The sequence below is a fragment of the Homo sapiens genome, chromosome 6 (assembly GCF_000001405.40).
Source record: "Homo sapiens chromosome 6, GRCh38.p14 Primary Assembly".
Lineage (NCBI taxonomy): Eukaryota > Metazoa > Chordata > Mammalia > Primates > Hominidae > Homo > Homo sapiens.
In genome coordinates, this window is record NC_000006.12 from 158,535,400 (window position 1) to 158,563,377 (window position 27,978).

A 27,978-nucleotide genomic window follows, 5' to 3' on the forward strand; every position below is an offset into this window, starting at 1 on the left:
AGTCCGACCTGGGCGACAGAGCGAGACTCCGTCTCAAAAAAAAAAAATACTGAGATGATTAAACACAAATGCTCATGTTAATGAATTAAGGCTAAAACCTAACTGTGCGCAATGCAAGATGATCAGCAGTTATGGGAAGATGTGCAAGCCCTGATAGGGAGCCTGGCTAGCATACAAAAGCTGTTCCAAAATGTAAAGGGAGGGAATAAAAATACAGAGCAAGGAAGAGTGGGTGGAGTGACAGAGTAGGCACAGACAGCAGGAAACATGGGAATGCTGAGACCACTGGCACCTGAGTGGTCATTAGACTTGCCTGTGGAGTTTGGACAAATACAGATTCCTGGGATCGATATTCCACAATTATTTAGGTTCAATTGTGTAGGTTTTGTCCCTAAAAGTAAGAGGTTTCCCCCAGTGCAGGCAGGATCAACCTTGCGTGGAAACCTGCCCTGGGTTCAGTTGGAAATGCACTAACATCGTCTGGAAAGACTGTTTTTCCACCTATTATTGGAAAAATTCACAAGAGGAGATCACACCACGCTTTGGAGAAGCCATTCCGTAGAAGACGTGTTAACTGGTTAACTATAGTTTGCACACTAGTGTTGAGCTTGTAGAAGGTGAGAAACTCCTCTGCCTAGACTTTTTTTGGTGGTTTTAGTACATGTGGGAAGAAGCACCTCACTTGGACACACTTCATTTAAAAATAATATTTATTATGACTATAACCCTAATGGGCTTAGTTTTAAATGTTTCTGCATTCGGCCAAGTGGAGCCCAAGAAGCCAGAAGTCGCCCGCGGGAGCTGTCCGCGGTGCTGAACGCGGTAGCCGGCTTCAGCCTTTGACCTCCCCAGCAGGAAAGGGCCTTCGGTCCGCCCCCAAGCACCATTTTCCTTCGTGCTCCCACCTCCAGTGTCTTCCCTTCCCAGCGCTGCCAATGGCGAGGGCGGCACTGAGATTTTTGTCCTGGGCGGCAGACGACCTTGTGTTGCACTTCCTCCCCCGCCTTCTGCCTCTCCCGGGGCGGCGGCGGATGGGCGCGGAGGCGGATGGGCGCGGCTCCCTCCCCCACTCAGGCCTCTTCACGGGGCGGGGGGCCGGGTCCCCCAGCCCCCACCCGCGCCGTGTCCAGCTCCTCGCGTGCTCGCGGCGGAGCCCTGAGCGCACTGGGTCCGAGTCCTGCGCGCCCCCTCACCACCTCCCCCGCACCTGCTCCTCCTCCTCGGTCCCGCCCAGCGCGCCAGCAGCCCGATCCCCAGTGCTGGGAGAAGAGAGGGGGCGCAGGCGGCGACACAAAGGGTGGAGCGGCGGGACCGGGACCCGGGAGGCTGCGCGGCATGGACGCCGAGTACCCTGCCTTTGAGCCCCCGCTCTGCAGCGAGCTCAAGCACCTGTGCCGGCGGCTGCGGGAAGCGTACCGCGAGCTCAAGGAGGACCTCACGCCCTTCAAGGATGACCGCTACTACAGGTGGGCGCGGCGCGGGCAGCGGCGGGGCGGCCGGAGGCTTCCGGGCCGCAGTCCCCTCCGGGACCCCGGCGCGCCCCGGCCTTGGCCTGGTCCCGCCGACGGCCGCCTCCGCCGGCCGGGCGCGGAGCCTACGGATGGGGACGGGGTCGGGGCGGGGATCTGGGAGGGACCAGGAAGGGGACGGGGAGCAGGGATACTGGCAGCGGCGGGCAGGTTCCTGGATTCAGGGCAGCCCGGCGCCCCCGGGCGAAGGGCCGATTTCCGTTCAGCTGAAACCCAAGCCGAGGCTCCCGCCTCCCCGGAAAGGAGCTGCGGGTTGTGGCTCCTCCCTGCGCCCCGCGTCGTTCTCCCCCCGCGCCCGCCTCGCCGCCCCCGCTCGGGCCTCACGCGGCGCAGTCTGGGGAGGCGACCGCGCGCGCTGCGGCGTCGGGAGGAGGGTCTTGGCCGCAGCTCTGAGCGCCCTAGGCTTTGCAGGACGCCTCGGAGGCGGGGGCGCCGCCAAGGGCTGGGGGCGGATGGGCGCGGCGGGGAAGACGCGGCGGGGCGCCATGCGGGGACACGGCGCCTGGGAGCGGCTGTGTGGAACTTGTTTGCGTTCATCTCTGTCTCCCTCTTCAGCGGCCTAGGGGAGAGCGGTGGGGACTGCAGACCCTGGCGCCGGCCCCCGCCCCCTTCCTCTCTGCGCTCTGCAGTTCGGAGGGGAAGGAAAGTCTGTTCACCGCCAATGGCCGATTTACCCAAAGGCTTGGCGGTGTCGGGACAGGACCCTATCGCGAGTCGGTAGAAAGCTCCCTCACCCCCCCACCTCAACCTTCCCCATCTGTTAAATGGGAAGTCTGAACCAGAAGGTCTCAGAAAGCTGAGGTTTAATCATGATTTACTCACTCTGTGCTAAGGATGGCGAGGGTGTCGCACTGCTATGGGGAACGGGTGGTCATTTTTCTAAGACCTATCCTGTACTCATCATAGGTACCTGCTCAGAAAAAGGCGTGTCACACTTATCCTCACATCTGTTAAAAAACCTAATGCCTTCCCACGGGCTAATCAGCAACGCAGCGGGACCGTGGTCATGGTTACTGAGTGAAAAAGCCCATTTTAAACAAATGTAAAAAATCATGTGATGTAGCTTTGGGGCGAGCCTGGAAATCTGTCTAATGCAGCCTCCTGGAAGACCTGAGGGTATGGGAAAAGAATCCACAGTTTCATATCATACTTGTTAAATAAGATTATTTCCAATCTCCTTTTCTGCTAGTCCCCCGTCCCCCGCCCCCTACTCTGTTTTTTTTTTTCCTATTTATTTATTTATTGAGACAGGGTCTTGCCCTGTCGCCCAGGCTGGAGTGCAGTGGTGCAATCTTGGCTCACTGCATCCTCCACTTCCCTGGCTCAACCAAGCAATCCTTCTACCTCAGCCTCCTGAGTAGCTGGGACCACAGGCCTGTGCCCCATCACCTGATTTTTATATTTTGTTTAGAGATGGAATTTCCCTGTCTTGCCCAGGCTGGTCTCAAACTCCTGGGCTCAAGTGATGCTCCCACCTTGGCCTCCCAAAGTACTGAGATGACAGGCGTGAGCCACCATGCCTGGCCTTTTTTTTTTTTCCTGTATTTTCTTTTCTTGGGAATATTTCTTTGGCAACACAGCTAGTGAAAGTGGAATGATCGCAGTGCAAATAGTCGAGAAGAGAACACACCCCAGTGGTTAATCTCCATCTTTATTCACTGACCAATGTATTCACCTGGTAGTTACTGAGCATTTTTTATGTTCCTGCTGTTGTTCTAGGCGTTGTGAATACAGCGGTGAGCAAGACAGGGTCTCTGCTCTCCTGGGGCTTACAGATAATAAACCAAGTGACATGAGAGACTGACAGGGTGCTGCCACACAGAAGGTAGTCAGGTGAGGCTCATCTTGAAAGTGACATTTGTCTGAGAACTGAAAAATGAGGAGCTAACCAGACAAGGAGGCAGGGAGGAAACTCCCAGAAGAGGAAGGAGTATTGCAAAGTCCCTGAGGCCATAAAAACATGAAATGTTCAAGGCACAGATGGAAGACCAGCGAGCCTGGAGCACTGTGGTCAGAGAGAGAGGCTGGGCCAGGCCCTGAAGAGCCTTGAAGGTCAGACTAAGGAATGTGGATTTCACTGGGACTGCAGTGTGAAGCCACTAGAGGATTTTACACGGGACAAGTGACATCAGCAATTTGGCTGCCTGTACTACAGCAAGCATTTGAGTCTTTGCTCCAGGAGCCACTTCCTTAGTTGAGTTGGAGCTTGAAGACAGATTCACAGCGGTTGGAAGTGATCAGTGATGGATTCTGCCCCGCCCCCCGCCATGAGCACAAGTTGACTGCAGAGTACTTTACAATATTTTGTATAGACAGGGCAGTTAGGCTGAATCACAAAGTCTGTTTTATAGTGAGAAGATGTTTTAGATCACTGAACTATCTTGAGTAGCTCCATTGAATTTTTATATCAATGGATTGTCGCTGTACAAAACTAGGTGAAATACTCGGGTTTCTAAGTTGGGAAGCTGCTAGTTACAGCTCCGCATCTGTCTAGCTGGAAGGTGAAATTGCTACTGTGATTTTGGCTCCTTCTCTTCTCACCGTCTTCATTTCCTTATTGGTGGTTTATGAGTAAAACGCACCAGCTCTTTCCCCTGGAGGACCGGGGACTCACCTCACGTGGTTGGCAGTTTTCTCATAACAGGGCGAAGCAAAGAACACAGCTGCTAAAGCTCCGTTTACAAAACATGATTGGCCCCTCTGTTCAGCAGCATGGCTGTTTGCATATTTGCTACATAATTTGGCATCAGTGAAGAGCTGCAGCTATGTGATCAAAGGACTCTTGGCGATTTTCACAAAATGAGAGGTGACAGTTGTACTGCCTGTCAGGAGAGGGAAGGTGGTAAAACAATAGGCCAGGGATCTGAAATCCTGGTTCTAGCCCCAGTTCCACTCCTTGCTAACTGCCGGGCCTTGTGGTGAGTTAATTGCATTTCACTGGACAATCCGTTTCCACATCAGGATAAAGAAACCCTCTTCACACGGATTTTCATAAGACTCAGACACTTTATGAAGAGAGCACTAAAGATGTTTTCAGATACACATAACAGAAAAACCACAGCGAACCAGTCTAAACAATAAGGGAATGAATTGGGTTGCTGATTCGGCAGCTTAATGATGTAATCAAGTTCTTTCTTTTTAACTTGATAGCAATTGGCTGCTGATAATCATTTGGGCTACTGCTTCTCATTCATATTCATGGGGGAAGCTGGCTGGCTTTCTATGGCTGTCTCTAAAAGAAAAAGAATAACTTGAAGTCTACAGAAAACTCCTTGAATCTCCGTATCTACACCCCACCAAAATGGTAACAAGGACATGGAATGTTCACGCACTGCGGATGGGAGGGTAAATTGCTATAATCATTATGGAAAACCACTTGGCAAGCAGCTACTAAAGTTGAACATACACATTTCCTCAGGCCCAGCATTTGCTGTCGGGTATATGCCCTGCAGAAATGCATACATGGGGCCATCAGAAGACGTACTAAAAAGTGTTCCTAACAGCACAGGTTGTAATACTCCTAAACTGGAAAGTAGCCAGATACTAAAAAATAGTAGAATGGACAAAGGTAGCAGAGCGCGGTGGCTCGTGCCTGTAATCCCAGCACTTTGGGAGGCCAAGGCAGGCAGATCACTTGAGCCCAGGAATTGGAGACCAGCCTGAGCAACGTAGTGAAAGCCCATCTCTACAAAAAATACAAAACTTAGCTGGGCGTGGTGGTGCATGCCTGTGATCCCAGTTACTTCGGAGGCTGAGGCATGAGAATCGCTTGAACCCTGGGGGAATTGGTAAGATCAGGATTCGCAGTGCTGGCTGCACATCAGAATCATCTGAAGGAGCTGTTTCTTTTTTTTGAGAGAGAGAGTCTCACCCCTGTCACCAAGGCTGGAGTGCAGTGGTGTGGTCATGGCTCACTGCAGCCTTGACCTCCTCGACTCCTCTCCCGCAGCCTCCCAGGTAGCTGGTACTACAGGCATGCACCACCATACCCAACTAATATTTTTGTTCATTTGAATTTTTTCGTAGAGACGAGGTCTCACTATGTTGCCCAGGCTGGTTTTGAACTTCTGAGCTCAAGGATGTGAGGGAGCTTTTAAAAACAAAGATGCCCAGGTCCCATCCTTGAGGATTCTAATGTAATTGACCTGGGCTGGATCTCTGCCAGGATGGAGAGCCATGAGGGGTGAGTGAAATATCTTGGAGCAGGCCGGGTGTGGTGGCTCATGCCTGTAATCCTAGCACTTTGGGAGGCTGATGGGGGCGGATCACTTGAGGTCAGGAGTTCGAGACCAGCCTGGCCAACGTGGCGAAACTCCATCTCTACTAAAAAAAACAAAAATTAGCAGGGCGTGATGGCGGGCGCCTGTAATCCCAGTTACTCAGGAGGCTGAGGCAGGAGAATCGCTTGAACCAGGGAGGCAGGGGTTGCAGTGAGTTGAGATCATGCCATTGCACTCCAGCCTGGGCGACAAGAGCGAGACTCCATCTCAAAAAACAAAAAAACAAAAAACAAAAAACAAAAGAATTATCTTAGAGCAGCAGGTGGAGACACCCTGGGGCACCCATCTCCTCCTCTGATGGATTTTCCAATGGGTGGCAGTATTGGCAGCCAGGCGCCACGTCTCCCTCTCCCCACACAAAGCTCAGTGACTGCTGTCAGCTCACCTTGGCTCATGTTCCGTTTCCACGCCTCCATGCTGGCCAACCGTCCTTTCTGCTTTGACACCTTTGATCAGGTTACATTCAGGTTTAAAGGTCTGGGAGCCATGTTTTTTATTTAAGGCCAACGTTATTTCCTGACGCATCTGTACTGATTTTGATGTAAGCATATCAGAGGGCCTCATCTTTTCTCCTTGTTTTCAAGTTATTGGGTACACCTCAGTGTAACTATTGACTGACAACTCTGTCTTTTGTTTCTTTTTTTGGTGGGAGGAGACAGTGAGTGTCCCTGATGAGACTGGGATTTTATCTTTTTTTTTTTTTTTTTTTTTTTTGAGATGGAGTCTTGCTCTGTTACTAAAGGCTGGAGTGCAGTGGCCTGATCTCAGCTCATTGCAACCTCCACCTCCCGGGTTCAAGCGATTCTCCTGGCTCAGCCTCCCAAGTAGCTGAGATTACAGGCATGCGCCACTATGCGTGGCTAATTTTTGTTTTTTTTAGTAGAGATGGGGCTTCATCATGATGCCCAGGCTGGTCTCGAACCCCTGACCTCAAGCGATCCGCCCACCTTGGCCTCCCAAATTGCAGGGATTACAAGTGTGAGCCACTGCACCCGGCCTAGATATTCTTTTAATCACACAGCCAGAGGCTAACATATTCTGAATCTCACGTATAGTATTGGGCATTTTTATGTCTATAATGGACATCTCTTGAATTATATTTTGTCAGATACTAAAGTTGTTACTCCGTTATTGAGTCCTTACTATGTACTGAGTACTGGACCAAGTGTTTACATGCATCATCTTATATAATCTTCCCGACAACCCTCAGAGGAAAATGAAGTCTAGCAAGACCAAGTAACTTGTTCGAGGTTGCACTTTAGAACCAGAATTCAAACCCAAGTCTGTATCGTATGCACTTACCAGAGCTCTTCCTGGTGTTTACCTAGGCTTAATTATTTCTTTGTGTACCTTGGGGTAAGCGGAGCTATTGCCCATACAGCAGAGTGTGGGTTTCTTTTTGTTGTTTGTTTTTGAGGCAGAGTCTTGCTCTGTTGCCCAGGCTAGAATGCAGTGACGTGACCTCGGCTCACTACAACCTACACCTCCTGGGTTCAAGCAATTCTTGTGCCTCAGCCTCCTGAGTAGCTGGGACTACATGCGTGGACCACCACACCTGGCTAATTTTTGTATTTTTAGTAGAGAAGGGGTTTCACCATGTTGCCCAGGCTGGTCTCGAACTGCTGACCTCGGAATCTGCCTGCCTCGGCCTCCAGAGTGGTTTTTTTTTTTTTTTTTTTTTTTTTGAGACAGAGTTTTGCTCAGTCACCCAGGCTGGAGTGCAGTGGCGTGATCTCAGCTCACTGCAACCTCCACCTCCCAGGTTCAAATGATTCTCCTGCTTCAGCCTCCCGAGTAGCTGGGACTACAGGTGCGTGCCACCACGCCTGGCTAATTTTTTGTATTTTTAGTAGAGATGAGGTTTTACCGTGTTAGCCAGGATAGTTTCGATCTCCTGACCTCGTGGTCTGCTTGCCTCAGCCTCCCAAAGTGCTGGGATTACAGGTGTGAGCCACCTCGCCTGGCCTCAGAGTATGTTTATTTAAGCCACGTCTCGCTCTGAATTGAGAGGAAAAAATAAAGATATAATTTCCTGGATAGCAGAGCAGGTATAAGCATCCCATCTGTTCTTCCTGGTCATCATCCGGCTGGAAGGATGACGCAGTTCTGGCAACTGAAAGACCATCCTTTGCCAGAGGAGGACAGGCCTCAAGTCTGGTGGAACACCTGAAGCTTGAAGTGGACCTCGTTCCCCAGATATGGAAGCTGGGGCTCTGGAGCCGCCTTCTAGGGCTGCGGTAAGAAAACACCACAGCCTGCAGGGCTCAAGCAACAGGGATGTATCGTCTCCTGGTTCTAAGGCCAGAAGTCCGAAATCCAGGTGTTGGCAGAGTTGTCTCCTCCTGAGGGACATTCTGTCCCAGGCCTTTTCTCCGGCTTCTGGTAGCTTCAGGCTTGGCTTGTAGATGTCTATCATCTCCCTGTGTCTTCACATCGTCTTCCTTCTATGTGTGTTTGTGTCCAAATCTCCCCTTTTTATAAGGACATCAGTCACACTGGATTTAGGGCCCGCCTTAATGACCTCATTTTAGCTTGCTCGTCTGCCAAGGCCTTATCACCAAATAAGGCCACGTTCACAGGCACTGGGGGTTAGGACTTCAGCATCTTTTTGGGGACACAAGCCACACCATAACAGGCTTTCCTTGAAAAGAACAGCTCATGTGTTGATACAGGGCTATGGATTTTGGCTCCTCTCTGCCAATATTTTCTAAGCGTAGCAGCCGAATGCTTGATGAACAAGAGTCAGGAGGACTAGGCAGGTCCTGGCTTAGATCGGCCGCTGTGCTTATTGGAAATCGGGTCTGCACATCTTATAGGATGATCTCAGATCCCTCCTGGCTCTAAAACGGAGATAGCAGACTGATAGTGCAGCTGTGTCTGGATCAGGGTGGCTCCGTCTCCCCGGCAGAGGTGTCTGAAACCTTCACTGTGTCACCTGAGTTGCCTGAGGTTTCTCAGGTGCAAATTGGAGAGAGTGTGTGTGTGTGTGTGTGTGTGTGTGTGTGTGTGTTGGGGTGAGGGAGAGTATGCAATGAAGGCAGAGGAAACAGGCTCTGGCCTAGCTCAGGAGCTGTTGGGTCAGAGATATGGTGCTCAGCGCATCCTGGCTTGAAAGTCTAGTGTTCCAGGAAACCCCTCCGTCCCAGAAAAATCAGGATGGTTGGTCAACCTAAAGGTGGATCAGGACACAAGGAGCCACTCCAGGTTAAGCCAGGCTGGGTGAGGCAGGGTTGGAGACTCAAGACAGATGAGCCGTCTGCTGGGGTAGTGTGTGTGTGCTGGGGTATCACGGTCACGTAGCGGGCAGAAGGCGGCTGAAAGCTAGCTGAACAGTGCAGAAAGGGACGGGGCGCTCATTTCCCCAATTTCTTCAGCCTCAGTGGCATTCCCTTCCATGAGCCTCGGGGCAAACCCCTGAGCTCTTGCGCTCTGGGGTCTTGGTCTTCCCGCCTTCCTTCCGGCTGGCTGGTTCTCTTGCTCTTCTTGGCTCAGTCTTCATCACCCCCTCCCCTGCTCAATGGACAGCTCCCTGTAAGGCCTGCCCACGCCTCAGGGCTGTGCTTCTCAGAGGAGAACTCCCTCCTGCTCTTTTTATAACAGGGACTATGTTGTAGTCCCTCTTTTCCTATCCCGAAATGAAATTCCTTGAGAACGTCATACATGCTTCCATAACTTAAAAAAATTAAATTACCCTAAATGTCTTCTGAACAAGCAATGAAAGAAAAGTAATTTATAAGAAATAGCATGCATTTCAACGTGAAAATGCCCTGGCAAGACTACCCTAAAAGGAAAACGCCCCGGGGTGACGGTTTAGGAAGCTGGCACCTTAGAGCCGCACAGGGAGAGGATGCTGCCCACCGCTCAGGGGCCAGGCAGCTCTCCAGGCCCCGTTCCCCTGCGGCTTGCTCAGCCGTGGGCTGCAGGGCACTGCTATGCCTACTCCGAACGTTTCTGCACCAGCGTTCCCGCTACACCCCGCTTTCTTCCTTACCCCATGTTTACTGGAGTTGTGAGGTTTAGGCCACACTTAGGAAATCAGGACAAAGCCCCATTGTTCTGCATGTTCAAGGCCCTAGCAGAGGATTTATTTGCGACCCTGGGACCCACAACGGCACAGAATCATCACGTGCCTGGGACTGGCCTCCCCTGGCCTTGTCCTGACTTGGAAAGTCGTGGCAAGTGACGGATCTCGCTGGAGCAGCGCTTGTTTTGCTACATAGGAAGCAGCTTGAGCGAAGGGCTGATCGCCTGCCTCTGGGAGCAGAGCTCTGAAGGCGTGAGGCAGGCTCGTCATGAGCAACGCCGCCCGCTTTTCCAGCTGCTGTGGGATGCAGGGGCACGTGGCGGGTGGGCGTTGTCCTGCCTTCTCTGCCTTCTGGGGCATGAAGGAACCGGACAGAACTTGGAAACATGCTGTAAGGGGGCATGGCTGCACTCTTTCCATTCTTTTTTAGTTTTTTTTTTTTTGGTGGTGGTTGTCTTGTTTTTTAGAGATGGGGTCTCACTACGTTGCCCAGGTTGGAGTGCAGTGGCTCCTCATAGTGCAGTCATGGTGCACTACAGTCTCGAACTTCTGGGCTCAAGTGATTCTGATTCTCCCACCTCAGCCTCCTGAATAACTGGAGCTCTGGCTTCCCATTCTTTTTAATACACCCCCATGGCTAGGAAAGTGCCCTCTGCGCTGTGTTTGTTCATGGTGGAGTACATCCAGCAAAGTAATCTTGGTTGTTTACTGTTGACTTTCAGCCTTCAAGTCTTGTGAGGACTTAAAGACGGAGTTTTGCTCGTAAGTGAAGATAATGACCAGTTTCCCTGGCTTATCTATCTGGCATGACCGGGGCAGTGTTTCTGATGTATAAACCCATGCTCTTCGGTGAACAGAGCCCCCAGTTTAGGATTCAGGCTGACAGAGATTACTTCCTATTCCATCTGGAAAGGTCAAGCATGCTCCTGCCTCGTGGTGACAAGCTGGGAGCTCCAGAACCCGTGTTCTTCCAGTGGAGACTGTCCTCAGCTTCTGCAAGCGGAAATGCAAAACCAAATACCCTCCCCTCAGGCTGCAGTAGGAATGAGAACATATTAGAACTTTGCTGTAGTTCTCATCATTGGCAGCTATGTCAGGGACAGCTAGAGGCATTGATAGGCACTTTATAAAGATATGGCACTACAGCATTTAAGACCATTGGTTGCAAGTATTAGTTTCAGCCAAAAAGGGTACACATGACGAGAATACAGGGATCATTCACAGACCAAAGGGCAAAAATAGAACTGAACCCCAGGAAGGAGCTGGAGCTGAAACTGAACCCCAGGAAGGAGTTGGAGCTGAAACTGAACCCCAGGAAGGAGCTGATGTGGCATGGATTCCATGGGTTCATCTTCTAGATCTCTCTTGCCAATGCCCTGAACTGTGGGTTATCAAATTTACTGTACACTAGAATCCCTTAGGGAGCTTTAAAAATACTGATGCCAGCCAGGCGCGATGGCGCACACCTGTAATCCCAGCACTTTGGGAGGCCCAGGTGGGCGGATCACAAGGGTCAGGAGTTCGAGACCAGCCTGGCCAATATGGTGTGAAACCCCATCTCTACTAAAAATACAAAAATTAGCAGGGCGTGGTGGTGGGCGCCTGTAGTCCCAGCTGCTTGTGAGGCTGAGGCCGGAGAATCATTTGAACCCGGGAGGTGGAGGTTGCAGTGAGCCGAGATTGCACCACTGCACTCCAGCCTGGGCGACACAGCGAGACTCCATCTCAAAAACAAAAACAAACAAACAAATAAAGAATACTGATGCCAGCTGGGCGCAGTGGCACACGCCTGTAATCCCAGCACTTTGGGAGGCTGAGGTGGGCAGATCACTTGAGATCAGGAGTTCAAGACCAGCCTGGCCAACATGGCGACGCTTCATCTCTACAAAAAACACAGGAATTAGCTGGCCGTGGTGGCATGTGCCTGTAGTCCCAGCTACTTAGGAAGCTGAGGTGGGAGGGTTATCTGAGCCTGGGAACTCGAGGCTGCAGTGAACCATGATTGTGCCACTGCACTTCAGCCTGGGCAACAGAGTGAGACCCTGTCTCTAAATAAATAAATACAGAAATACAGACGCCTAAGCCCTGCTTCAGATCTGCCTCAGTTGGTTTGGGGTTTAGCCTGAGCACTGGGTTTTTTTTAAAGCTCCCCAGGTGATTCTAGCTTCTGCAGATACTGAGACCCACTGTCTTAAACTAGTTTGCTTCTCTGTCTTTTCGTCTCATCTGTCCTGGGGCTCCCAGTCTCTGATCAGTACAAATACTCTCATGCTTACGCCACCCATTCAGCAGGAGGAAAGTGCCACCAGGCAGGCGCTCTTGGAAGTCACCATTGACACAGGGTCTCCCCCCTCAGCTGGGGCCTCAGCGAAGCCCTGAAATCCTGCTAGCTTTTCCCAGGCTGCTCATTTCTCCAGACTTTGTAACAACGATTCCAGACCTTCTCCACCTCTTTGCACTGGATCTAGTTGACAGGCCCCCCAGGCCCCCTTGGTCCTGCCCATATCCACCTCCCGTCTCCCACCCTGCCCCCGGGCCACTGGTCCCTGGCCTTGCCTCCCGACCTGACCTCCTGGTGCAGGCCCCAGAAGTTGCGGTGAGTCGATATCACGCCATTGCACTCCGGCCTGGGCAACAAGAGCAAAACTCTGTCTCAAAAAAAAAAAAAAAAAAAAAAAAAAGAGTCCTGACAAATAAGTTGGTGAAAGCCATGGAGAGAAGCAGTTCCCAGCCTCTGCCCCTTCCACCCCACAGACCAAAGAGCTGCTTTGGTGCTGACTGACATGGGGGCTCCTTCGCCCCACGCTGACTGAACTGGCAGCCACAGGCCTGGCTCCCCAGGGCTGCTTGAGGGCCAGGTAACATCACCTGGATGTGTAGGTCAGACTTTGGCCAAGGGTGACAGTGACTAGACAGAGCTAACAGATTGTTTCCGAACACAGTAGTTTGGAAATAAACCAGCCGTGTTTGTCCCGAAGCTCTGGCCCACGTGCACCCTCTGAAACGTACTCTCCAACCTCCTGTCTGACTCCATCCTCTCTCCTTCCTTCCCTGGGATTGTACCACTCCCAGTAAAATTGACATGGAAACTATTGCTCTAGGTTCTGTGTTTGAGGGAACCCAGCTGCTAAGACATTCTTTAAATGTTGAGATAATCTTGCCCGGTAACTCATAGAAAAACATGGGCCAGAAGGAGGGTGGCCAACGATCCTGGTTTGTCTGGGACTGAGGGCGTCTTCAGGACAGGGACTTTCAGTGCTCATACTTGGAAAGTCTCAGGCAAACCAGAATCAGCCAGCTGCTCTGGCCAGGTGGCAGGAATGCTCTCAGCTGCCACCTCCAGTCCTGCGCTCACTGGCCCTCCAGCTCCCTTCCTTTGTTCCAAGGGATGGTGTCCTCATTCTCTAAACAATGAGGAAATGGGTGTCTTATTGTGAGGCAGCCAGCAAGCCCAGGGCAGTCATTTGTTCAACACACAGGGGCTTGGTGTCTTTCTCTACCAGGCTGGGTGCCAGGTCCTGGAAAGAGGAGGACGAATAAAGGCTTGCACGGTGAAGTCATAGGAGACAATGATGGAGAGGCGCTGCTCAAACATTGAAAATAAAATACGTGTTTCGGTTTGATAGCTTGGGACTGATACTTAAAAACCACCCAAGGCAGAGAAGGTGAAGGGTGTTGGGAGGCTGGTGCCTCCTTCCTGGTCAGTACCCGGGGCTTGTGAGTGATGGCCTTGCTGTGCCAGAGAGGCAGGGAGGGGCCTGCTCTACTCACCAGGCTTTGTTATTGTAAATTCCAGAAACCAGCAGGGGCCACAGAAAATAGGGCATTTGCTTTAATGGTGGCAAAGGGGACAAAATGAGGGAAAATGTGCACACTTCTTTTTTTTTTTTTTTTTTTTTTTTTGAGACAGGGTCTCTCTCTGTTGCCCAGGCTGGAGCCCAGTGGCGCGATCACGGCTCACTGCAACCTCCGCCTCCCGGGTTCAAGCAATTCTTCTGCCTCAGCCTCCTGAGTAGCTGGGACTACAGGTGCGCCACTATGCCCGGCTGATTTTTGTATTTTTAGTAGAGACGGGGTTTCACCATATTGGCCAGGCTGGTCTCGAACTCCTGACGTCGTGATCCACCCGCCTTGGCCTCCCAAAGTACTGGGATCACAGGTGTGAGCCACTGTGCCTGGCCTACACTTCTTAACATATAGTAGTAGACTTTCAAGTGATTCAGAATGTTCTGTGCATGATTATCTCACCTTTGGAAATGAAGAAAGGAGAGAATGCAAACATGGTTGTTTACAGACTTCAAGACTATGGTGGTGTCAGCCTAAATAACAAACAAGAGAGCGGCTCTCAAAAATAATATTTATTTGGGAGCAAAGCATTGCAGTGGGAATAGGCATTCCACAGTAAGCTCTGTGCGTAGTCAGGGCGGTAAAGGAAGACAAAGGTTTTTAAAGGAAAAATGAAGAGGATTACATAATTGCTTTGAGATAATTATTTTTGGCTACAAGGATCAATAACAAGGGTGATGCCAATTTGAGGTTGGACTGGCAGTGGCTGGGCAGGTGTTGTTGCAGGAGTATTTTTTGTATGTAAGGTGGTGACGGCCTTTATGCAACGTTGTGGTTTTTGTAGAGTCTTTTGTGATAGTTTTTGTTACTAGGCATTTATGCGTAAGTGCATAAGACTCCTCTTCATGGCCTTCCCCAACCTATTTGTCAGGACTTTTTTTTTTTTTTTTTTTTAACACAAGTGACTCCACTTTGATTCTGATAATTTTCCCATTCCCTCTTTTGATCAAGATCTTTCTCCAAAAGCATCACTGATCAATCATCCTGTAGTTAGGTTTTGATGTCCCTCCGTGCTTGGATGGACCTGTCTTGGGTTGCTGGTCTGGTCCCATGTTGGAGGGCGTGAATAGTGGCCAGGAGTCAGTGTCAAAACCCTTTCAGCCACATTTGGGCAACAAGGGAGCTTTGAAGGGACTGGCTGTGAGGCTAAGAGACAGGGTTTCACCATGTTGGTCAGGCTGGTCTCGAACTCCTGACCTCAGGTGATCTGCCCGCCATGGCCTCCCAAAGTGCTGAGATCACAGGCGTGAGCCACCACGCCCGGCCGAGACTTGTTTCTTAAAATGTATCTAGTTTCAGCCGGGCGCGGTGGCTCATGCCTGTAATCCCAGCACTTTGGGAGGCCGTGGCTGGCGGATCACAAGGTCAAGAGATCGAGACCATCCTGACCAACATGGTGAAGCCCCATCTCTACTGAAAATAGAAAAATTAGCTGGGCGTGGTGTCGCTTACCTGTAGTCTCAGCTACTCGGGAGGCTGAGGCAAGATAATTGCTTGAACTTGGGAGGTGGAGGTTGCAATGAGCCGAGATGGCGCCACTGCACTCTAGCCTCGTGATAGAGTGAGACTCCGTCTCAAAAAAAAGAAAAAAAAATACGTAGTTTCATTTTACAGGTCTTAGGAACAGAGTAGTCCCCAATTTTAGTAATTTCATGGAACAAAGTTGGATTGGAGAAATCTAGAAGAATTCAGGACCTAGCCTAGTCTACAGGCAAATAACTAGAACTTGAAGCTAATGCACAGAGCTACCATTTATAGTTTTTATAGTGTATTATAGCACTCCAGCCTGGGTGAGAGTGAGACTCTGTCTCAGGAAAAAAAAAAAAAAAAAAAAAGAACCAATAATGTTTTAAATAAAAATCATACAAACATTATCTTTATCAATTCCTTTTTTTTTTTTTTAGACAGAGTTTCTCTCTGTTGCCAAGCTGGAGTGCAGTGGTGCAATCTCGGCTCACTGCAAATTCCAACTCCTGGTTCAAGTGATTCTCCTGCCTCAGCCTCCCGAGTAGCTGGGACTGCAGGCATGCACCACCACATCCAGCTAATTTTTTTGTGTTTTTAGTAGAGACGGGGTTTCACCATGTTGGCCAGAAGGGTCTCAATCTCCTGACCTCGTGATCCGCCTGCCTCGGCCTCCCAAAGTGCTGGGATTACAGGTGTGAACCACTGTGCCCGGCTCAATTATTTAATTTTATGCAATTAATTTTTGTTCTGCTTGATCTGAATTAGCAGTTTCATAAACCTGTCAGTTTATTTATTAGAGTTGTGGGAATTTTATTTAATCCACTGGTCCTACAGTTACTAGAAATGTGTTCAAGAGTACTTGTTAGGGTCTTTTCCATGAAAAGCCATTTTGGAGTATAGCTAATTGTAAATGTTTTAAGGGACAAATCAAAACAATAACTGTGGATGACAAAACACAGGATAGCCAGGGTTAAGAACCTGACAAACATTTATTATAATCGGGAATTGCCAAGGAAATGTAGTTATTTCTATTACACACAATGTTTTAAGATGGCAACCAGAATCATGACTGACAGCATCACATCAGGACCATTCGACTTTTACAAATTTTACATAATCTTTAAGATACATCAATAACATATCTCTAAAAATATAGCTTTAAAGTAGATTTAACATAACACGTAAAATATGATTGATAATGTATTATCTAATTTTTGAAACATTTGTATTGATAACATATCCATAAATGTAATTGAAAGAAGAGCTGCTATCACTGATCACCTGACAAAGTTTCCTATGGAGCAAGTAAGCCTAATCATTTCCTATCACTATGAGATGATATGACAGATACAGTTTTTATGCTCTCCAGGGGCCTAACTGGTAAATTCCCAAGTTAATTTTAGGTCAAAAGATTTAATTTAGAATTTTGATCCTGGGGAGGCCTGCCAAAGATGTCAAAAAGTTTACAGTCCTTGCTCAAGACAGGATCACAGCTCACCGTGAAATAATAGTTATTTAAGCAGAGTGGTAATCGAAAGATTTTAAAAGCAATACAGAAAGGCATGCGAAATTTAAAAAGCTTAACCCTTTTAAAGTTCAGTTTTCCTGAGTAATCAAAAATCGAATTGAGATAACACAGGAAGTTATCCTAATAAAATATAAATCCTTTGTTTTTTTTAGGCCAGTTACCAAAAGGTGAAGAAAAACCTCCTGCAGTGTGATTGCACCTCCTGCAGTGTGATTGCTTTTCCTTATGGGAAGCCCACTTAGATATCTTGGAAGTTGAACCTGATGAAAGGTACTTACATTTAATCAGAAGCAGGAAGAATGTGTTCAAGATTTTGAGTATACACTATATCACAGAGGAATATACACAAGAAAACTAATACATTGAGCGAGGAATACATGGATCTTAGAGAACGTGAGAGCCTGTGAAGTTTCCTTGTTACATAGAACAATTCAGACACATCAAGAAAAGCCAAGAGTACAGAATCAAGTTACACTGGAGGAAAAGATTGCTGCTTCAGGTCTTCAAGATAAACATTTTAGCATTGGGCCATAAGAGCAGAGTTAGAACTGAAGGGAAAAGTTACAGGAGCTGATAAAAAGGTTGAAGGAGAGAGTTATCGTCTCAGCCTTATCAGGGAAGAAAGAGCTGTAGGCAGTTATGTGTGACCTGCCAGTCATGGGCTGTGAGATGGAAACAAAGTTGAGCTTCTGAGAGATGAACCTGAGAAGCTTTAAAATGAAAACTCTACCTCAAGAAGTGAAATTACCATTCGGAATGAAAAAACATTTCTGTCTTGAAACTAGAGAAATTAAGTGGCTTTCAGGAAAAAATGTGGCAGAAATAGAAACTGTCAGCCAGGCACAGGGGCTCATGCCTGTCATCCCAGCACTTTCGGAGGCTGATGCGGGAGGATCACTTGAGCCTAGTTTGAGACCAGCCTGGGCAACATGGTGAGACCCCAGTCCTGCAAAACAATTAAAAAATTAGCCGGGTGTGGTGGTGTGTGCCTGTGGTTCCAGTTACATGGGTGGCTGAGGCAGGAGGATTGTTTGAGCCTGAGAGGTCGAAGCTGCTATGAGTTGTGATTGTGCCATTGCACTCCAGCCTGGGCGACAGAGAGGGGTCCCTGTCTCCGAAAAAAAAAAAAATTGGGAAATGAACCAGACATTTAATGAATATCTGTTGTTTAATTTAACATACCATAAAACTTTAAGATTTTAAATTACATAAAAAGCTTATTTATAAACACATATACCATTTACATTTACAAAATTTATTTATTTTTAACAATTATACCTAGATTACTTATTAAAACTGAGATATTAGACAAAGCTAGTCATCAGTTATTTCTCTGTTAACCATTTTTATAGCCTGTGCATATCAGGTGTTCACCTAAGAACCTTAAATATATGGTTATTTTGTCAATAACTCAGAAGATACAGCTATTTTTATTAAACCAACAATATTAAATTAGTCTTACTTATCAAAGAGTTGTACAAAAAATCATTTTATTTTAGGCTGTGTTTATAGTTTTATAATCTTTGTGCTAAACCCTAATACCTTAAAACATCTAATGAAGACCAATATAAAACTGTCTGCCACAAAACCCATGCAACAGTATATTAATATGTTGGCAATTGTGCAGACATTTTTATTTTTTTCAACAATTTAAAAGCTAGTTTATTTATTAAAGACATTCTTAAGTCACATGAACTAAAACGCATTCGGGTTAATTAATATAGAGAGCAAGTTGGCACTTAATGTCATTAGTAGGTTCTTGGAAACTGTGACTGGGTGAAACAACGTCCAACAGGTCCTCAAATGATGTCACTTTGTTCAATGCTGTTTCATTATTTTTATTTTTTTTTTGAGACGGAGTTTTGCTCTGTTGCCCAGGCTGGAGCGTAATGGCACCATCTCAGCTCGCCAGAACCCCCACCTCCCGGGTTAAAGTGATTCTCCTGCCTCATCCTCCCGAGTAGCTGGGATTACAGGTGCCAGCCACCACGCCTGGCTAATTTTTTTATTTTATTTTATTTTATTTTTTGAGATGGAGTTTCGCTTTTGTTGCCCAGGCTGGAGTACAATGGCCCGGTCTTGGCTCACTGCAACCTCCACCTCCCAGGTTCAAGTGATTCTCCTGCCTCAGCCTCCCGAGCAGCTGGGATTACAGGCGCCTGCCACCACGCCCGGCTAATTTTTGTATTTTTAGTAGAGACGAGGTTTCACCATGTCGGTCAGGCTGATCTCGAACTCTTGACCTCAGGCAGTCCGCTCACCTTGGCCTCCCAAAGTGCTGGGATTACAGGCGTGAGCCACCGCGCCTGGCCATTTTTGTAGTTTTAGTAGAGATGGGATTTTGCCATGTTGGCCAGGCTGGTCTCGAACTCCTGACCGCAGGTGATCCACCTGCCTCAGCCTCCCAAAGTGCTAGGATTATAGGCGTGAGCCACTTCGCCTGGCCAATGCTGTTTCATTTTAACATTGATGAGGAAAAAAATTGGCTTCATTATACATTGTTTTGCTCAAAGTCACAGTTTCCAACAACCTATTCACAACATTAAGTCAGGACTTACTATATTTTATATGAAAGCTCATTTAAACCAATCTGAATAGAATTTAAGGGTCCATGCTAGATCTTACCATGAAGACACAACATAAAACATAATACACGTACATGTGTAAATGCACCGAAACAAATATCCACACACAGAAATATCTTACAGCTTTCATTTTAGAATGTTAGTCATGAGACAGTAAAAGATAATAAAACACAGCTGGATCCAAATTGTATTATTGACAAAGTTGAAACCTGTTCACATGTCTGAACTTTATTTGCCCCGATAGGTAATCTAATGAAGATGGTGGGCGAAGATTTTGGACAAAGCAGTTTGGTTTTTAAAAATCTCTTTTACTCCCACTCTTTTGCTTTTTTCAGCTTTAAATGAGTTTAGGGTTACATTTTCAATGTTTACATTTTAGCTAGGACTGGCTGAATTATATAAGGAAAACAAACTCTCCAAAGAGCCTTGAACTAGTAACAAATGTATCTTTTGTTTGCCCATCTGGTTTGCTTGGTTAATGTGAACAGGGAAGAATGTTAGCAGGGTTTCCTTCCTGTGTTTGTTTGGCTTTTTCTTTTTGGCCCCTGTGTGGCAGAAAAAGCAATTTTATGCCAGACAGAGACACCTTATATTATTGCTCTGAGCTCAAGATTTTGACTTGTTTGATCTGTGAGCCTTTTATGAAGATTTATCTAATTTTTTCTTTATCAATCCTTCAACTAACTTCCATTACCCCAAACAATTATTAGTCAGGCAAAACTAAATTAACCTTAAAAGAGATGATCCTTAGGCCTAGGTTGTTGGTTTTGGTTTAAAAAATCTTGGCTGGAATGCCATAAGCAGTGAGTTTTATCTCAACTCCAGTAGAAAAGTCAGCAGATTTAAAGTAAGCAGAAAAAAATAGAGATAGAGAATTTAGAAGACTCTACATGCTAACTGTATAGTTTCAGAGGTGTTTTTAGAGAATTCAGATAATGATCATTTGAGTTCTGAATGTTTCATGATGTAATTTGTCTATTAGCTTAAAAATGTGCGTGAAAAGAAGCCATAATATACAGCTAGCTGGAGTCCCAGAAGACTTGAGAGAATCCCATTGACTTGACTTGAGAATCCCATTCTGCTTTTTATTAATCTCTCAGGAGCAAAGGAAACCCTATAAATTCTGTCAGCGAATGTCAGGAGTTTGGACAATGTTTAGATGGCGGCTTTTAACTAGCCATCGTGCGCCCACCGTTTAGAATGTTTTTCTCTTGGAAGATTTTTCAGAAACAAGCAAGGGAAAAAAGACGAATCATTTATAGACACATAACTAAACCAAAATCAGTGTAGTCACAAGCTTTAACTCAGCATGCAGATCAAACAAAATATTAAATTAGACATGCAGAAAGAAGCAAAAGTAAATTAACCAGAAAAGACACGTCTCAGAGACAGAATGTCAATTCTGCAGAAACCAGAGTACTCAAACCAGCATGTCTTTCTACCAACAAGGACTTTTCAGAAAAGACAAAAAAGTCTTTTATCATCCCAGTAGGGATGTAAGGCAGCCTTATAACCAAAACGAATCCAGAATAATATGAAAAAGCTGCTACCAAAAAGAGGGAGCGTGGGCCTGAGAGAAGAGTCGCCTTGGCCAAAAAGGCAAGCTGTGCCAGCAGAGTTCAGAGGGCTCAAGTGAGTACCACACACCCGTTCTAAGAATCATCACTTCCTTCCCGTAGTGATCCTTTTCCCGATTCCATTTCTGACACATTTGCGTCAACCTAAATAACAAACAAAGAGGCTCTCTAAAAGAAATGATATTTATCCAGGAATAGGGCATTGCAATGGGAATATATGTGCCATAGTGAACTATGTGCCTTTTCAGGGAGGTATAGAAAGATGAAGGTTTTTAAAGGAACAATGGGGAGGATTACATAATTGTTTTGAGTTAATTATTCTTGGCTACAAGGATCACTCACAAGGGGGATGCCAGTCTCGCGTTGGACAGGCAGTTACTGGGCAGATGTCCTCGCAAAAGTGTAAGATTGCGATGGTCTTTGTGCAAGGTTATGGTTTTTATAGTCTTTTGTTATGGTTTTTGTTATCAAGCATTTATGCACGAGAATCCTCTTCATGGTGTTCTCTGGCTCTATTTGTCAGGATTGTTTTTGGTATTTTTTTTGAGATGGAGTCTCGCTCTGTTGCCCAGGCTAGAGTGCAGTGACGCCATCTTGGCTCACTGTAACCTCTGCCTCCTGGGTTCAAGTGATTCTCTTGCCTCAGCCTCATGACTAGCTGGGATTACAGGCACCTGCCACCACACTCAGGTAATTTTTGTATTTTGTTGGCCAAGCTGGTCTCAAACTCCTGAGCTCAAGTGATCCGTGCTCTTCAGCCTCCCAAAGTGCTGGGATTATAGGCATGAGCCACTGCACCTGGCCTGTTTTTAATACAAGTGACTCCATTTTAATTCTGACAACTTTCACAGTAGCTTATCTCCAAAGGCGGTGCACCTCCTAGGATCCCAGCACTTTGGGAGGCTGAGGCAGGCAGACTGCTTGAGCCCAGGAGTTCAAGACCAGCCTGGACAACATAGTGAAACCTTGTCTCTACAAAAAATACAAAATTAGCTGGTTGTGTTAGTGCACACCTGTAGTCTCAGCTACATGGGAGACTGAGGCCGGAGGATCTTTTGAGTGGGAGGCAGAGGCTGCAGTGAGCCGAGATTGCGCCACTGCATTCTAGCCTGGGTGACAGGGAGACTCTGTCTCAAAAACAAACAGGTCATGTGAGAAATGGCTGATAGATCACACCAGGCTTCTTAGAGCCCAGAATAGTTTGGGTCCCTTTCCCCTTTTCATAACATGATCATAGCACCTTTCATTTCCTTTTCTATCACAGCTGTAATTATTTATTTATTTATTTATTTATTTATTTGAGACAGAGTCTTGCTCTGTTGCTCAGGCTGGAGTGCAGTGGCGTGATCTTGGCTCACTGCAAGCTCCACCCCCTGGGTTTAAGCAATTCTCCTGCTTCAGCCTCCCAAGTACCTGGGATTACAGGCACCCGCCATCACGCCCAGCTAATTTTTGTATTTTTAGTAGAGATGGATTTCGCCATATTGGCCAAGATGGTCTTGAACTCCTGAGCTCAGGTGATCCCCGCCTCACCTTCCCAAAGTGCTGGGATTATAGGCGTGAGCCACCATGCCCATGCCCGGTCAATTAAGTAATTATTTAGGTTATTGTTTGTTCTTGACTAGAAAAGGACAGGGACCTCATCTGTCTATTCGTGTTGTGTTTCCAGAGCTGAGAGTTGTTCCTGGCACACACACACTGCTCCATTAATGTTTGAAGAACAAATAAATGAGAAAACGAGTATGACGGGAGAAGAGGAGCTGAGGGCCATGTGGTTGTTCACATCCTTGAAGGAGTGTTGGGAGAGGGCTCATGCTGACCTGGGTGACGCTGGACAGCAAATCCAGGGAGATCTGACAGGAAGGAATTGCCAGGAGGTAGTTTGGAGTCAAATGCACACAGTGAGGGCCAGGGGTCCTCGGGGTGGTGACAGTTTCCTCTCGCTGGAGATGCCTCAGGAGAGACCAGGCAGCTGGCACAGAGCAGGGATTTCCACATCATCTCATGCTGCTCTGGGCTGGAGGTAGATACTGGCTGCCTCTAGGCAAATGTGGCCAGCAAATGTGCTTTGTTTAGTCCCTCCCAGGGTTTAAGATATTTTTTCGAATTAGTTTCCAACATTTTAGAATCAGAAGTGTCGAAAGACAAAATGACAGCAAATTTAAAGATCCTAAGTAGCTTTTCTTCATGATTCTAGAATCGGGCAGCCCTCAGAACCAACAGGTTCAAAGGACTTTGGGGCTGCAACGTGGTTAGACAACATTTATGGACAGAAAGTGGAACTGAGGCGCAGAGACAGCTTAACTGGTTACAGGTTTATGTTCTAGCTTATTTGAATCAGCTAACCACCTGCCAATGACAGAAGCTCACTGGCTGTGATTGGCTGAGACTCAGCTGTTTGTTACAAAAGCATCCTCCTCAATTAGGGTGTCTTCTCTTTTATGTTAACTATGCCAGGCTGCAGCTCCTTATGTAAGGACTCAAGTAGGGAGGCATCCTCAGGCCTAAACATTTAACAGAAGGTGTTGCATGAAAACGCATGTTTGGGCTGGTTGCGGTGGCTCACGTCTGTAATTTAACAGGCTCCGGGGTTGGGGACCCCTGCTCTAGCTCATAGAACTCCCTCCGACTCACCCCTTCCCGCGCCCCACGTCCCTGTGAACAGTCTGTCCCTGCAGGTACCCAGTTTCTGTTCTCCGGTCTTGTTGCTATGAAGAACCCTTTCCCTCTGCTTATGTATGAAAAGAACTTAAGAAATAATCTTTTGTTATTCCTTGAAGAGTTGCGGTTTAGGATTCAGAGCACTAATGAGATTTTGTGTAACTATTCCTTGGTGTCCTGGCTTAGGGTGTGCTTTGCTTGGTATCTCCCCCTTTTAACCCCCCTCTTCCTAATATCCACCTCACCCTCCAGATTCAGCCCAAACTCTGCATTCTGTCCCCTACCTTCTCCACTCCCCCAAGGCGAGTTAGGCACCCTTCCTCACTGTAGCACCCTGAGCTAAGGCTACCTAACTTACTGTTGGTAATTTTCTTTGCCTGTAATTTCACTGAGGGCAGGAACTGTTCCTTATTCATGTCCACACTTTTCTGCCAATAGTAAGCCTGTTTACAGTTTAGTGAATGAATGAGGATACATTGCAAAGGAAGCTTGGAAGTCCTTTATTTAACTCATGCAGACCGACTTTAAACCCACAGCACACGGGAACACGGGACATTTTGAGTAATGCTCCAAAGAGAATCTCAGAAATAGCCAAACCTTGGTTCTCATCCATTCTTGATTACAGAAATGGGGAACACTGAGCCAAGATGCGAAATCAGGAAAGTGCTTTTGGTCCACTGGTCTAGCTGCAGTCTAGAAGCGGCTTGCGGGAGAAGCTACCAGAAAGAGCCCGGAAGGTTCCTGTCATCATTCGGGGTGGCAGAAGTTTGTCCTGGCTTTTAACCTTTTTTGGGGTCACAAGACCCTTAGGGAATGAATATACAGCTATAGCTCCTCTCCCTAGAAAAATGCAGACACCCATAGTGTTTTCCAGACAACTGCAGGGCATTCGTGGACTCCCGAGGCCCATCCTTACGCCCCGACACTCGGGAAGTAGGAGTGAATGAATGCGCTGTTTACCTGCCCTAGGGACAAGAGGTAAACTAAGTCATTCATTCACTCATTCCTTCTGTCTTGAGCCCCAGCTCAGGGCTAGCCTGGGTGCTCCCGGCCGTGGGGCTCCGCCCCGGCACGGGGCCACGAAGGAGGGCCACCCCCCTCGCCGCGCGCCCGCGGCCCCGCTTCCACCGCGCCGCGCCCTCTTCCGCCGTGAGAGTCGCTTCCGCGCACGTGATCTCGGCGTCGCGCTCTGATGAGTTTTCCGCGGCCGGCCGCTGCTCAGCCGCTGTCGCTCCGGCTCCGGCTGCGGCTGCCGCTGCCGAGGCTGCTGCGCGGCGCCTGGCGGGCTCGGGACGCGCGGGCCGGGGCCGAGGGCTCTGGGCGCCGAGATGGAGCCGTGAGTCCCCGGCCGAGCGGGCGGGCTGGCTGGCTCTCCGGACACTCCGGCCGAAAGTTGGGGATCCCTGGCTCCCGGCGCCGTGCCGCAGGGTCCCTGGCGCCCACGTGGAACTGGGGGCAGGGAAAAGGGCGCTGAAGGGGGCTTCGCGGGCGGGTCAGGCGGAGGTGTTTGCGCGGGGCGAGAGTAGACCGGGGCCGGGGCTCCCTCCTGCCTGCCCGCCCGGCCGCGGTTAGAGACCGGGATGCGGTCGGGGTTCCGGGACGGGGCTGCGAGCCACAGCGCTCACCGGGGGGCCGAGAGAACCGGGGGCGCTGCGGCCCTTCCCCGGCGTAGGGTGGCCGCCCGCACGGAGTCCCGCCGCCTCCCGGGCAGCCTCTCCTGCCGGAAAGGCCCCGCCCCGTCGTCCCCTCGGTATCGAGAGCGCCCCGCGCTGCCCTGCGGTCTCGCCCAGCGCCGGGTGCGAGGCTCTCAGAGGCGATTGGTGACGTGGGCACCGGGGAGCCTGCCGCAACAGCCCCTTTGGACTCGGGGTGTCGAGTTATATGAGTTTTATGCGTTTTACGATCTGCTGACTTTGGGCTTTTTTTTTTTTCTTTACCTCTTTGAAGTCCAGGGTTTTTAATGAGGAAAAACCTGTTTGGGGTCTCGTGGACGCCATCCCTAAAGCTTGCTTTTGACCCAGCAGTCGCCTAGGTGTCCCCCTGGGCGCATCTGGAAAAGAAGGAGACGGAGTTAACCAGAGGGTTAGCGCCGCGTGGAGTTGCAGAAAGTCCGGGAGAAGGAGTGGCCCATATGTGCAGCCGCGCCTGGCGCAGGAGGCTTCCAGGGCCGGCTCCCTGCACTGAAGGCAGCCTCCGAGGGGCCTGGGCGCGCTTCTTGGCTTATATGCGGTTTTTGAGGCAGAAGGGTTTTGCTTTGGATCTTTGCTGATTTCTCTGGCTGTGGACGTGGTCAGAGAAGTGACACCCAGGCCTGTTGCCTCAGCGCAAGTGCCTGTGACAGAGAGATCTGTTTTTCCTTCTGCTTCCTTAGAAGTTTCTGACTTTGGTATGTTGCTTTAGCACCTCTTGGGAAACTGGAATGGCATCAAATATCAGACCTATGTGGATGTTTTAAAGATTTTAAAAGCCAAGTGGAGGTAGGTTAGCAGTATTGCCTCTGCACAACTCCAGAGGGCAAGATTCTTGTGCGGCCTATGTAAATAATACTGCTTGGAACGGTGTCTTGTGGAACTGTGGCCTTGTAGCAGAGTGACAGCTGCGTGTTACAGGAGTTCTCTCACGCGCTGCCCCTTGGAGCTGCATAGGTGGGCTGGGTGTGCTTTTTCAGTAGGAGAGAGGCCGGGGACGTGAGGTGGTGAGGGCCTTGGCCAGGACAGGGATCTGGGTCTTCTGCCAGGGTCCTGCGCTGTTACAGGACAGGGAACTAGACCAAAGAAAGCAGTTGACCAAGGAAAGGTCCCGAGGAGGACAAGCAAAACGCAGCTTGAATTTTGTGCGAGTTTGAGGCCTCCCCCTGCAGCTGTAAGCGCTTTGTGCCTCAGGCTCTGTGGAGCACTAAGAGGGTTAGGGAAGACGGAGGGGGATGAGGGTATCTGGAAATCAGCCCACCACCATCGGCCAGCATTCCAGGCACCTACCTGGAAACTGAGAAGAGTTTGGTAGCAGATAAAATCCTCCTAAAAAACAAGCCTGAAAATCCGAAGTGCGTCCTGGACTTAGGTGACTGAGTGTTCTCTGTCCTTGTCTGGTGTGCCTGAGAGCCCAGAGGTGAGAAAGGTGAGAAAGAAGAGAAGTCCAGGGAAAGAATGGGAGAGAACAGAGCCGCTTGGAGGAGCAGGGGCAGCTCCACCACTCTGCTTACGGTGTGTAGGGGACCGTCCCCCTGCAGACCCTGGCCTTATGACCTCTGACTCTCATTCGGCCCAGCCTGCTCTTTAAAAATGTAGGAGAGATTGCCATCAAAACTCATCAGCAAAAAAGGTTAGCAGTTCTTAACAGTTTTACCTTGAACTCTCCTGCAGTCTCCATTCCTTCTCTGATGATGCTAGGGACGGGAGAGGTGCTAGGAGTCTGAGGACGGTGTGGGGCGTCTCATTTGCTAACCTGACTTGTTTGAGCTACAGGGCTGCACGGAGTTGAGACTCTCATGCTCACATGTTGCTTTGGTCTTACTTTAGCATTTCTCTGCAAATTTAAATAAGGCTGTTTTTGTGTGTGTGTGTGTGTGTGTGTGTGTGTCTTGCTTGGCACGTGAAGCCATTTTTTAGTGTGTATTTTATGTGTCTTTTTCATCCTGGGGGCATTTCAATGTAGAAGTGTATTAATTAGAACCACCTTCGGCTAGCAGCAAAGCATGGCACAGACAAATTAAGTATCCTGGAGCCCTGCTGTGGTTTCAGGGTCCTGGGCCTCCTGAGTCTCCCAGTGCTTTTGAGGGCACACCAGGCTTGGGTCAGTATCCTATTCCTGCAATCATTTAATTATTTAGGACTTTGTCTCATGGAATGGTTTTTTGTTCTGACCAAAATGATCTCTAGAAATAGTAAAAGATAACTGTGAGTGTTCACCATGTAGCAAGTGCCGTCGTAAGCACCTTACATCCATTGTTTCGTGGAATCCTCACTATCACCTTTCGTGAGGAAGTTTCTCTTTTCCCCATTTTGCAGATGAGGAAACTGAGGTATGAAAAAGACAAGTGAGTTTTTCAAGGCTTTAGAGCTGAGCCCAAACCCTGGGCCACCTGGCTCTAGAGCCCACACTCCTGACTGCTGTACTCTGCTCCTCTCAATAACAGCTGACAGTTCATGGTTACTTGGCAAGGGTTTTCACGTCACAACGGATTTAATTGCCACAGCATTGCTAGGTGGTGGGTTCCCTAGTTTCCTGAATTTTCAGAAACGGGATGTTTTGTTTGTTTGTATTTTGAGACAGAGTCTCGCTCTGTCACCCAGGCTGGAGAGCAGTGGTGCGATCTCGGCTCACTGCAACCTCTGCCTCCCGGGTTCAAGCGATTCTCCTGCCTCAGCCTCCTGAGTAGCTGGGCTTACAGGCAAGTGCCACCATGCCCGGCTAATTTTTGTATTTTTAGTAGAGTCAGGGTTTCACCATGTTGGCCAGGCTGGTCTCGAACTCCTGACCTC

At 48.6% G+C, this 27,978-nt stretch overlaps 1 protein-coding gene across 14 annotated transcripts in view, besides 6 other annotated features; it reads left to right on the forward strand.

The window, feature by feature from the left end:
* The first annotated feature begins 1,240 nt into the window (after nt 1–1,240).
* Nucleotides 1,241–27,978, forward strand: part of TMEM181 (transmembrane protein 181) — a 98,790-nt gene continuing 72,052 nt past the window's right edge. For 7 of the 14 annotated variants that reach the window (NM_001376817.1, XM_011536000.2, NM_020823.2 and 4 more), the window contains exon 1: nt 1,241–1,466. In NM_001376817.1, coding sequence (NP_001363746.1) covers nt 1,336–1,466 — 131 coding nt within the window. In that variant the 5' untranslated portion in view covers nt 1,241–1,335. Of the gene's footprint in view, nt 1,467–24,691; nt 24,834–25,298; nt 25,975–27,978 lie in introns of those variants that run through there. The other 7 variants (NR_164859.1, NM_001376850.1, NM_001376852.1 and 4 more) reach the window with 2 other exon arrangements.
* Nucleotides 1,678–1,972: an enhancer, noted in NCBI's record as "tiled region #4140; K562 Activating DNase matched - State 4:PromP". NCBI's record gives its function as "activates a minimal TATA promoter and a strong SV40 promoter by Sharpr-MPRA in K562 cells {active_cell/tissue: K562}" and the evidence as "EXISTENCE:reporter gene assay evidence [ECO:0000049][PMID:27701403]".
* Nucleotides 8,158–8,452: an enhancer, noted in NCBI's record as "tiled region #10808; HepG2 Activating DNase matched - State 8:EnhW, and K562 Activating non-DNase unmatched - State 20:ReprD". NCBI's record gives its function as "activates a minimal TATA promoter and a strong SV40 promoter by Sharpr-MPRA in HepG2 and K562 cells {active_cell/tissue: HepG2 | K562}" and the evidence as "EXISTENCE:reporter gene assay evidence [ECO:0000049][PMID:27701403]".
* Nucleotides 13,038–13,332: a silencer, noted in NCBI's record as "tiled region #807; HepG2 Repressive non-DNase unmatched - State 6:EnhF". NCBI's record gives its function as "represses a minimal TATA promoter and a strong SV40 promoter by Sharpr-MPRA in HepG2 cells {active_cell/tissue: HepG2}" and the evidence as "EXISTENCE:reporter gene assay evidence [ECO:0000049][PMID:27701403]".
* Nucleotides 24,383–25,302: a silencer, noted in NCBI's record as "silent region_17739". NCBI's record gives its function as "represses an Ori minimal core promoter by ATAC-STARR-seq in GM12878 lymphoblastoid cells {active_cell/tissue: GM12878}" and the evidence as "EXISTENCE:reporter gene assay evidence [ECO:0000049][PMID:35858748]".
* Nucleotides 25,722–26,223: an enhancer, noted in NCBI's record as "H3K4me1 hESC enhancer chr6:158982153-158982654 (GRCh37/hg19 assembly coordinates)". NCBI's record gives its function as "activates a minimal SCP1, AML or CMV promoter by ChIP-STARR-seq in naive H9 embryonic stem cells {active_cell/tissue: H9 hESC(naive)}" and the evidence as "EXISTENCE:reporter gene assay evidence [ECO:0000049][PMID:30033119]".
* Nucleotides 26,224–26,723: an enhancer, noted in NCBI's record as "H3K4me1 hESC enhancer chr6:158982655-158983154 (GRCh37/hg19 assembly coordinates)". NCBI's record gives its function as "activates a minimal SCP1, AML or CMV promoter by ChIP-STARR-seq in naive H9 embryonic stem cells {active_cell/tissue: H9 hESC(naive)}" and the evidence as "EXISTENCE:reporter gene assay evidence [ECO:0000049][PMID:30033119]".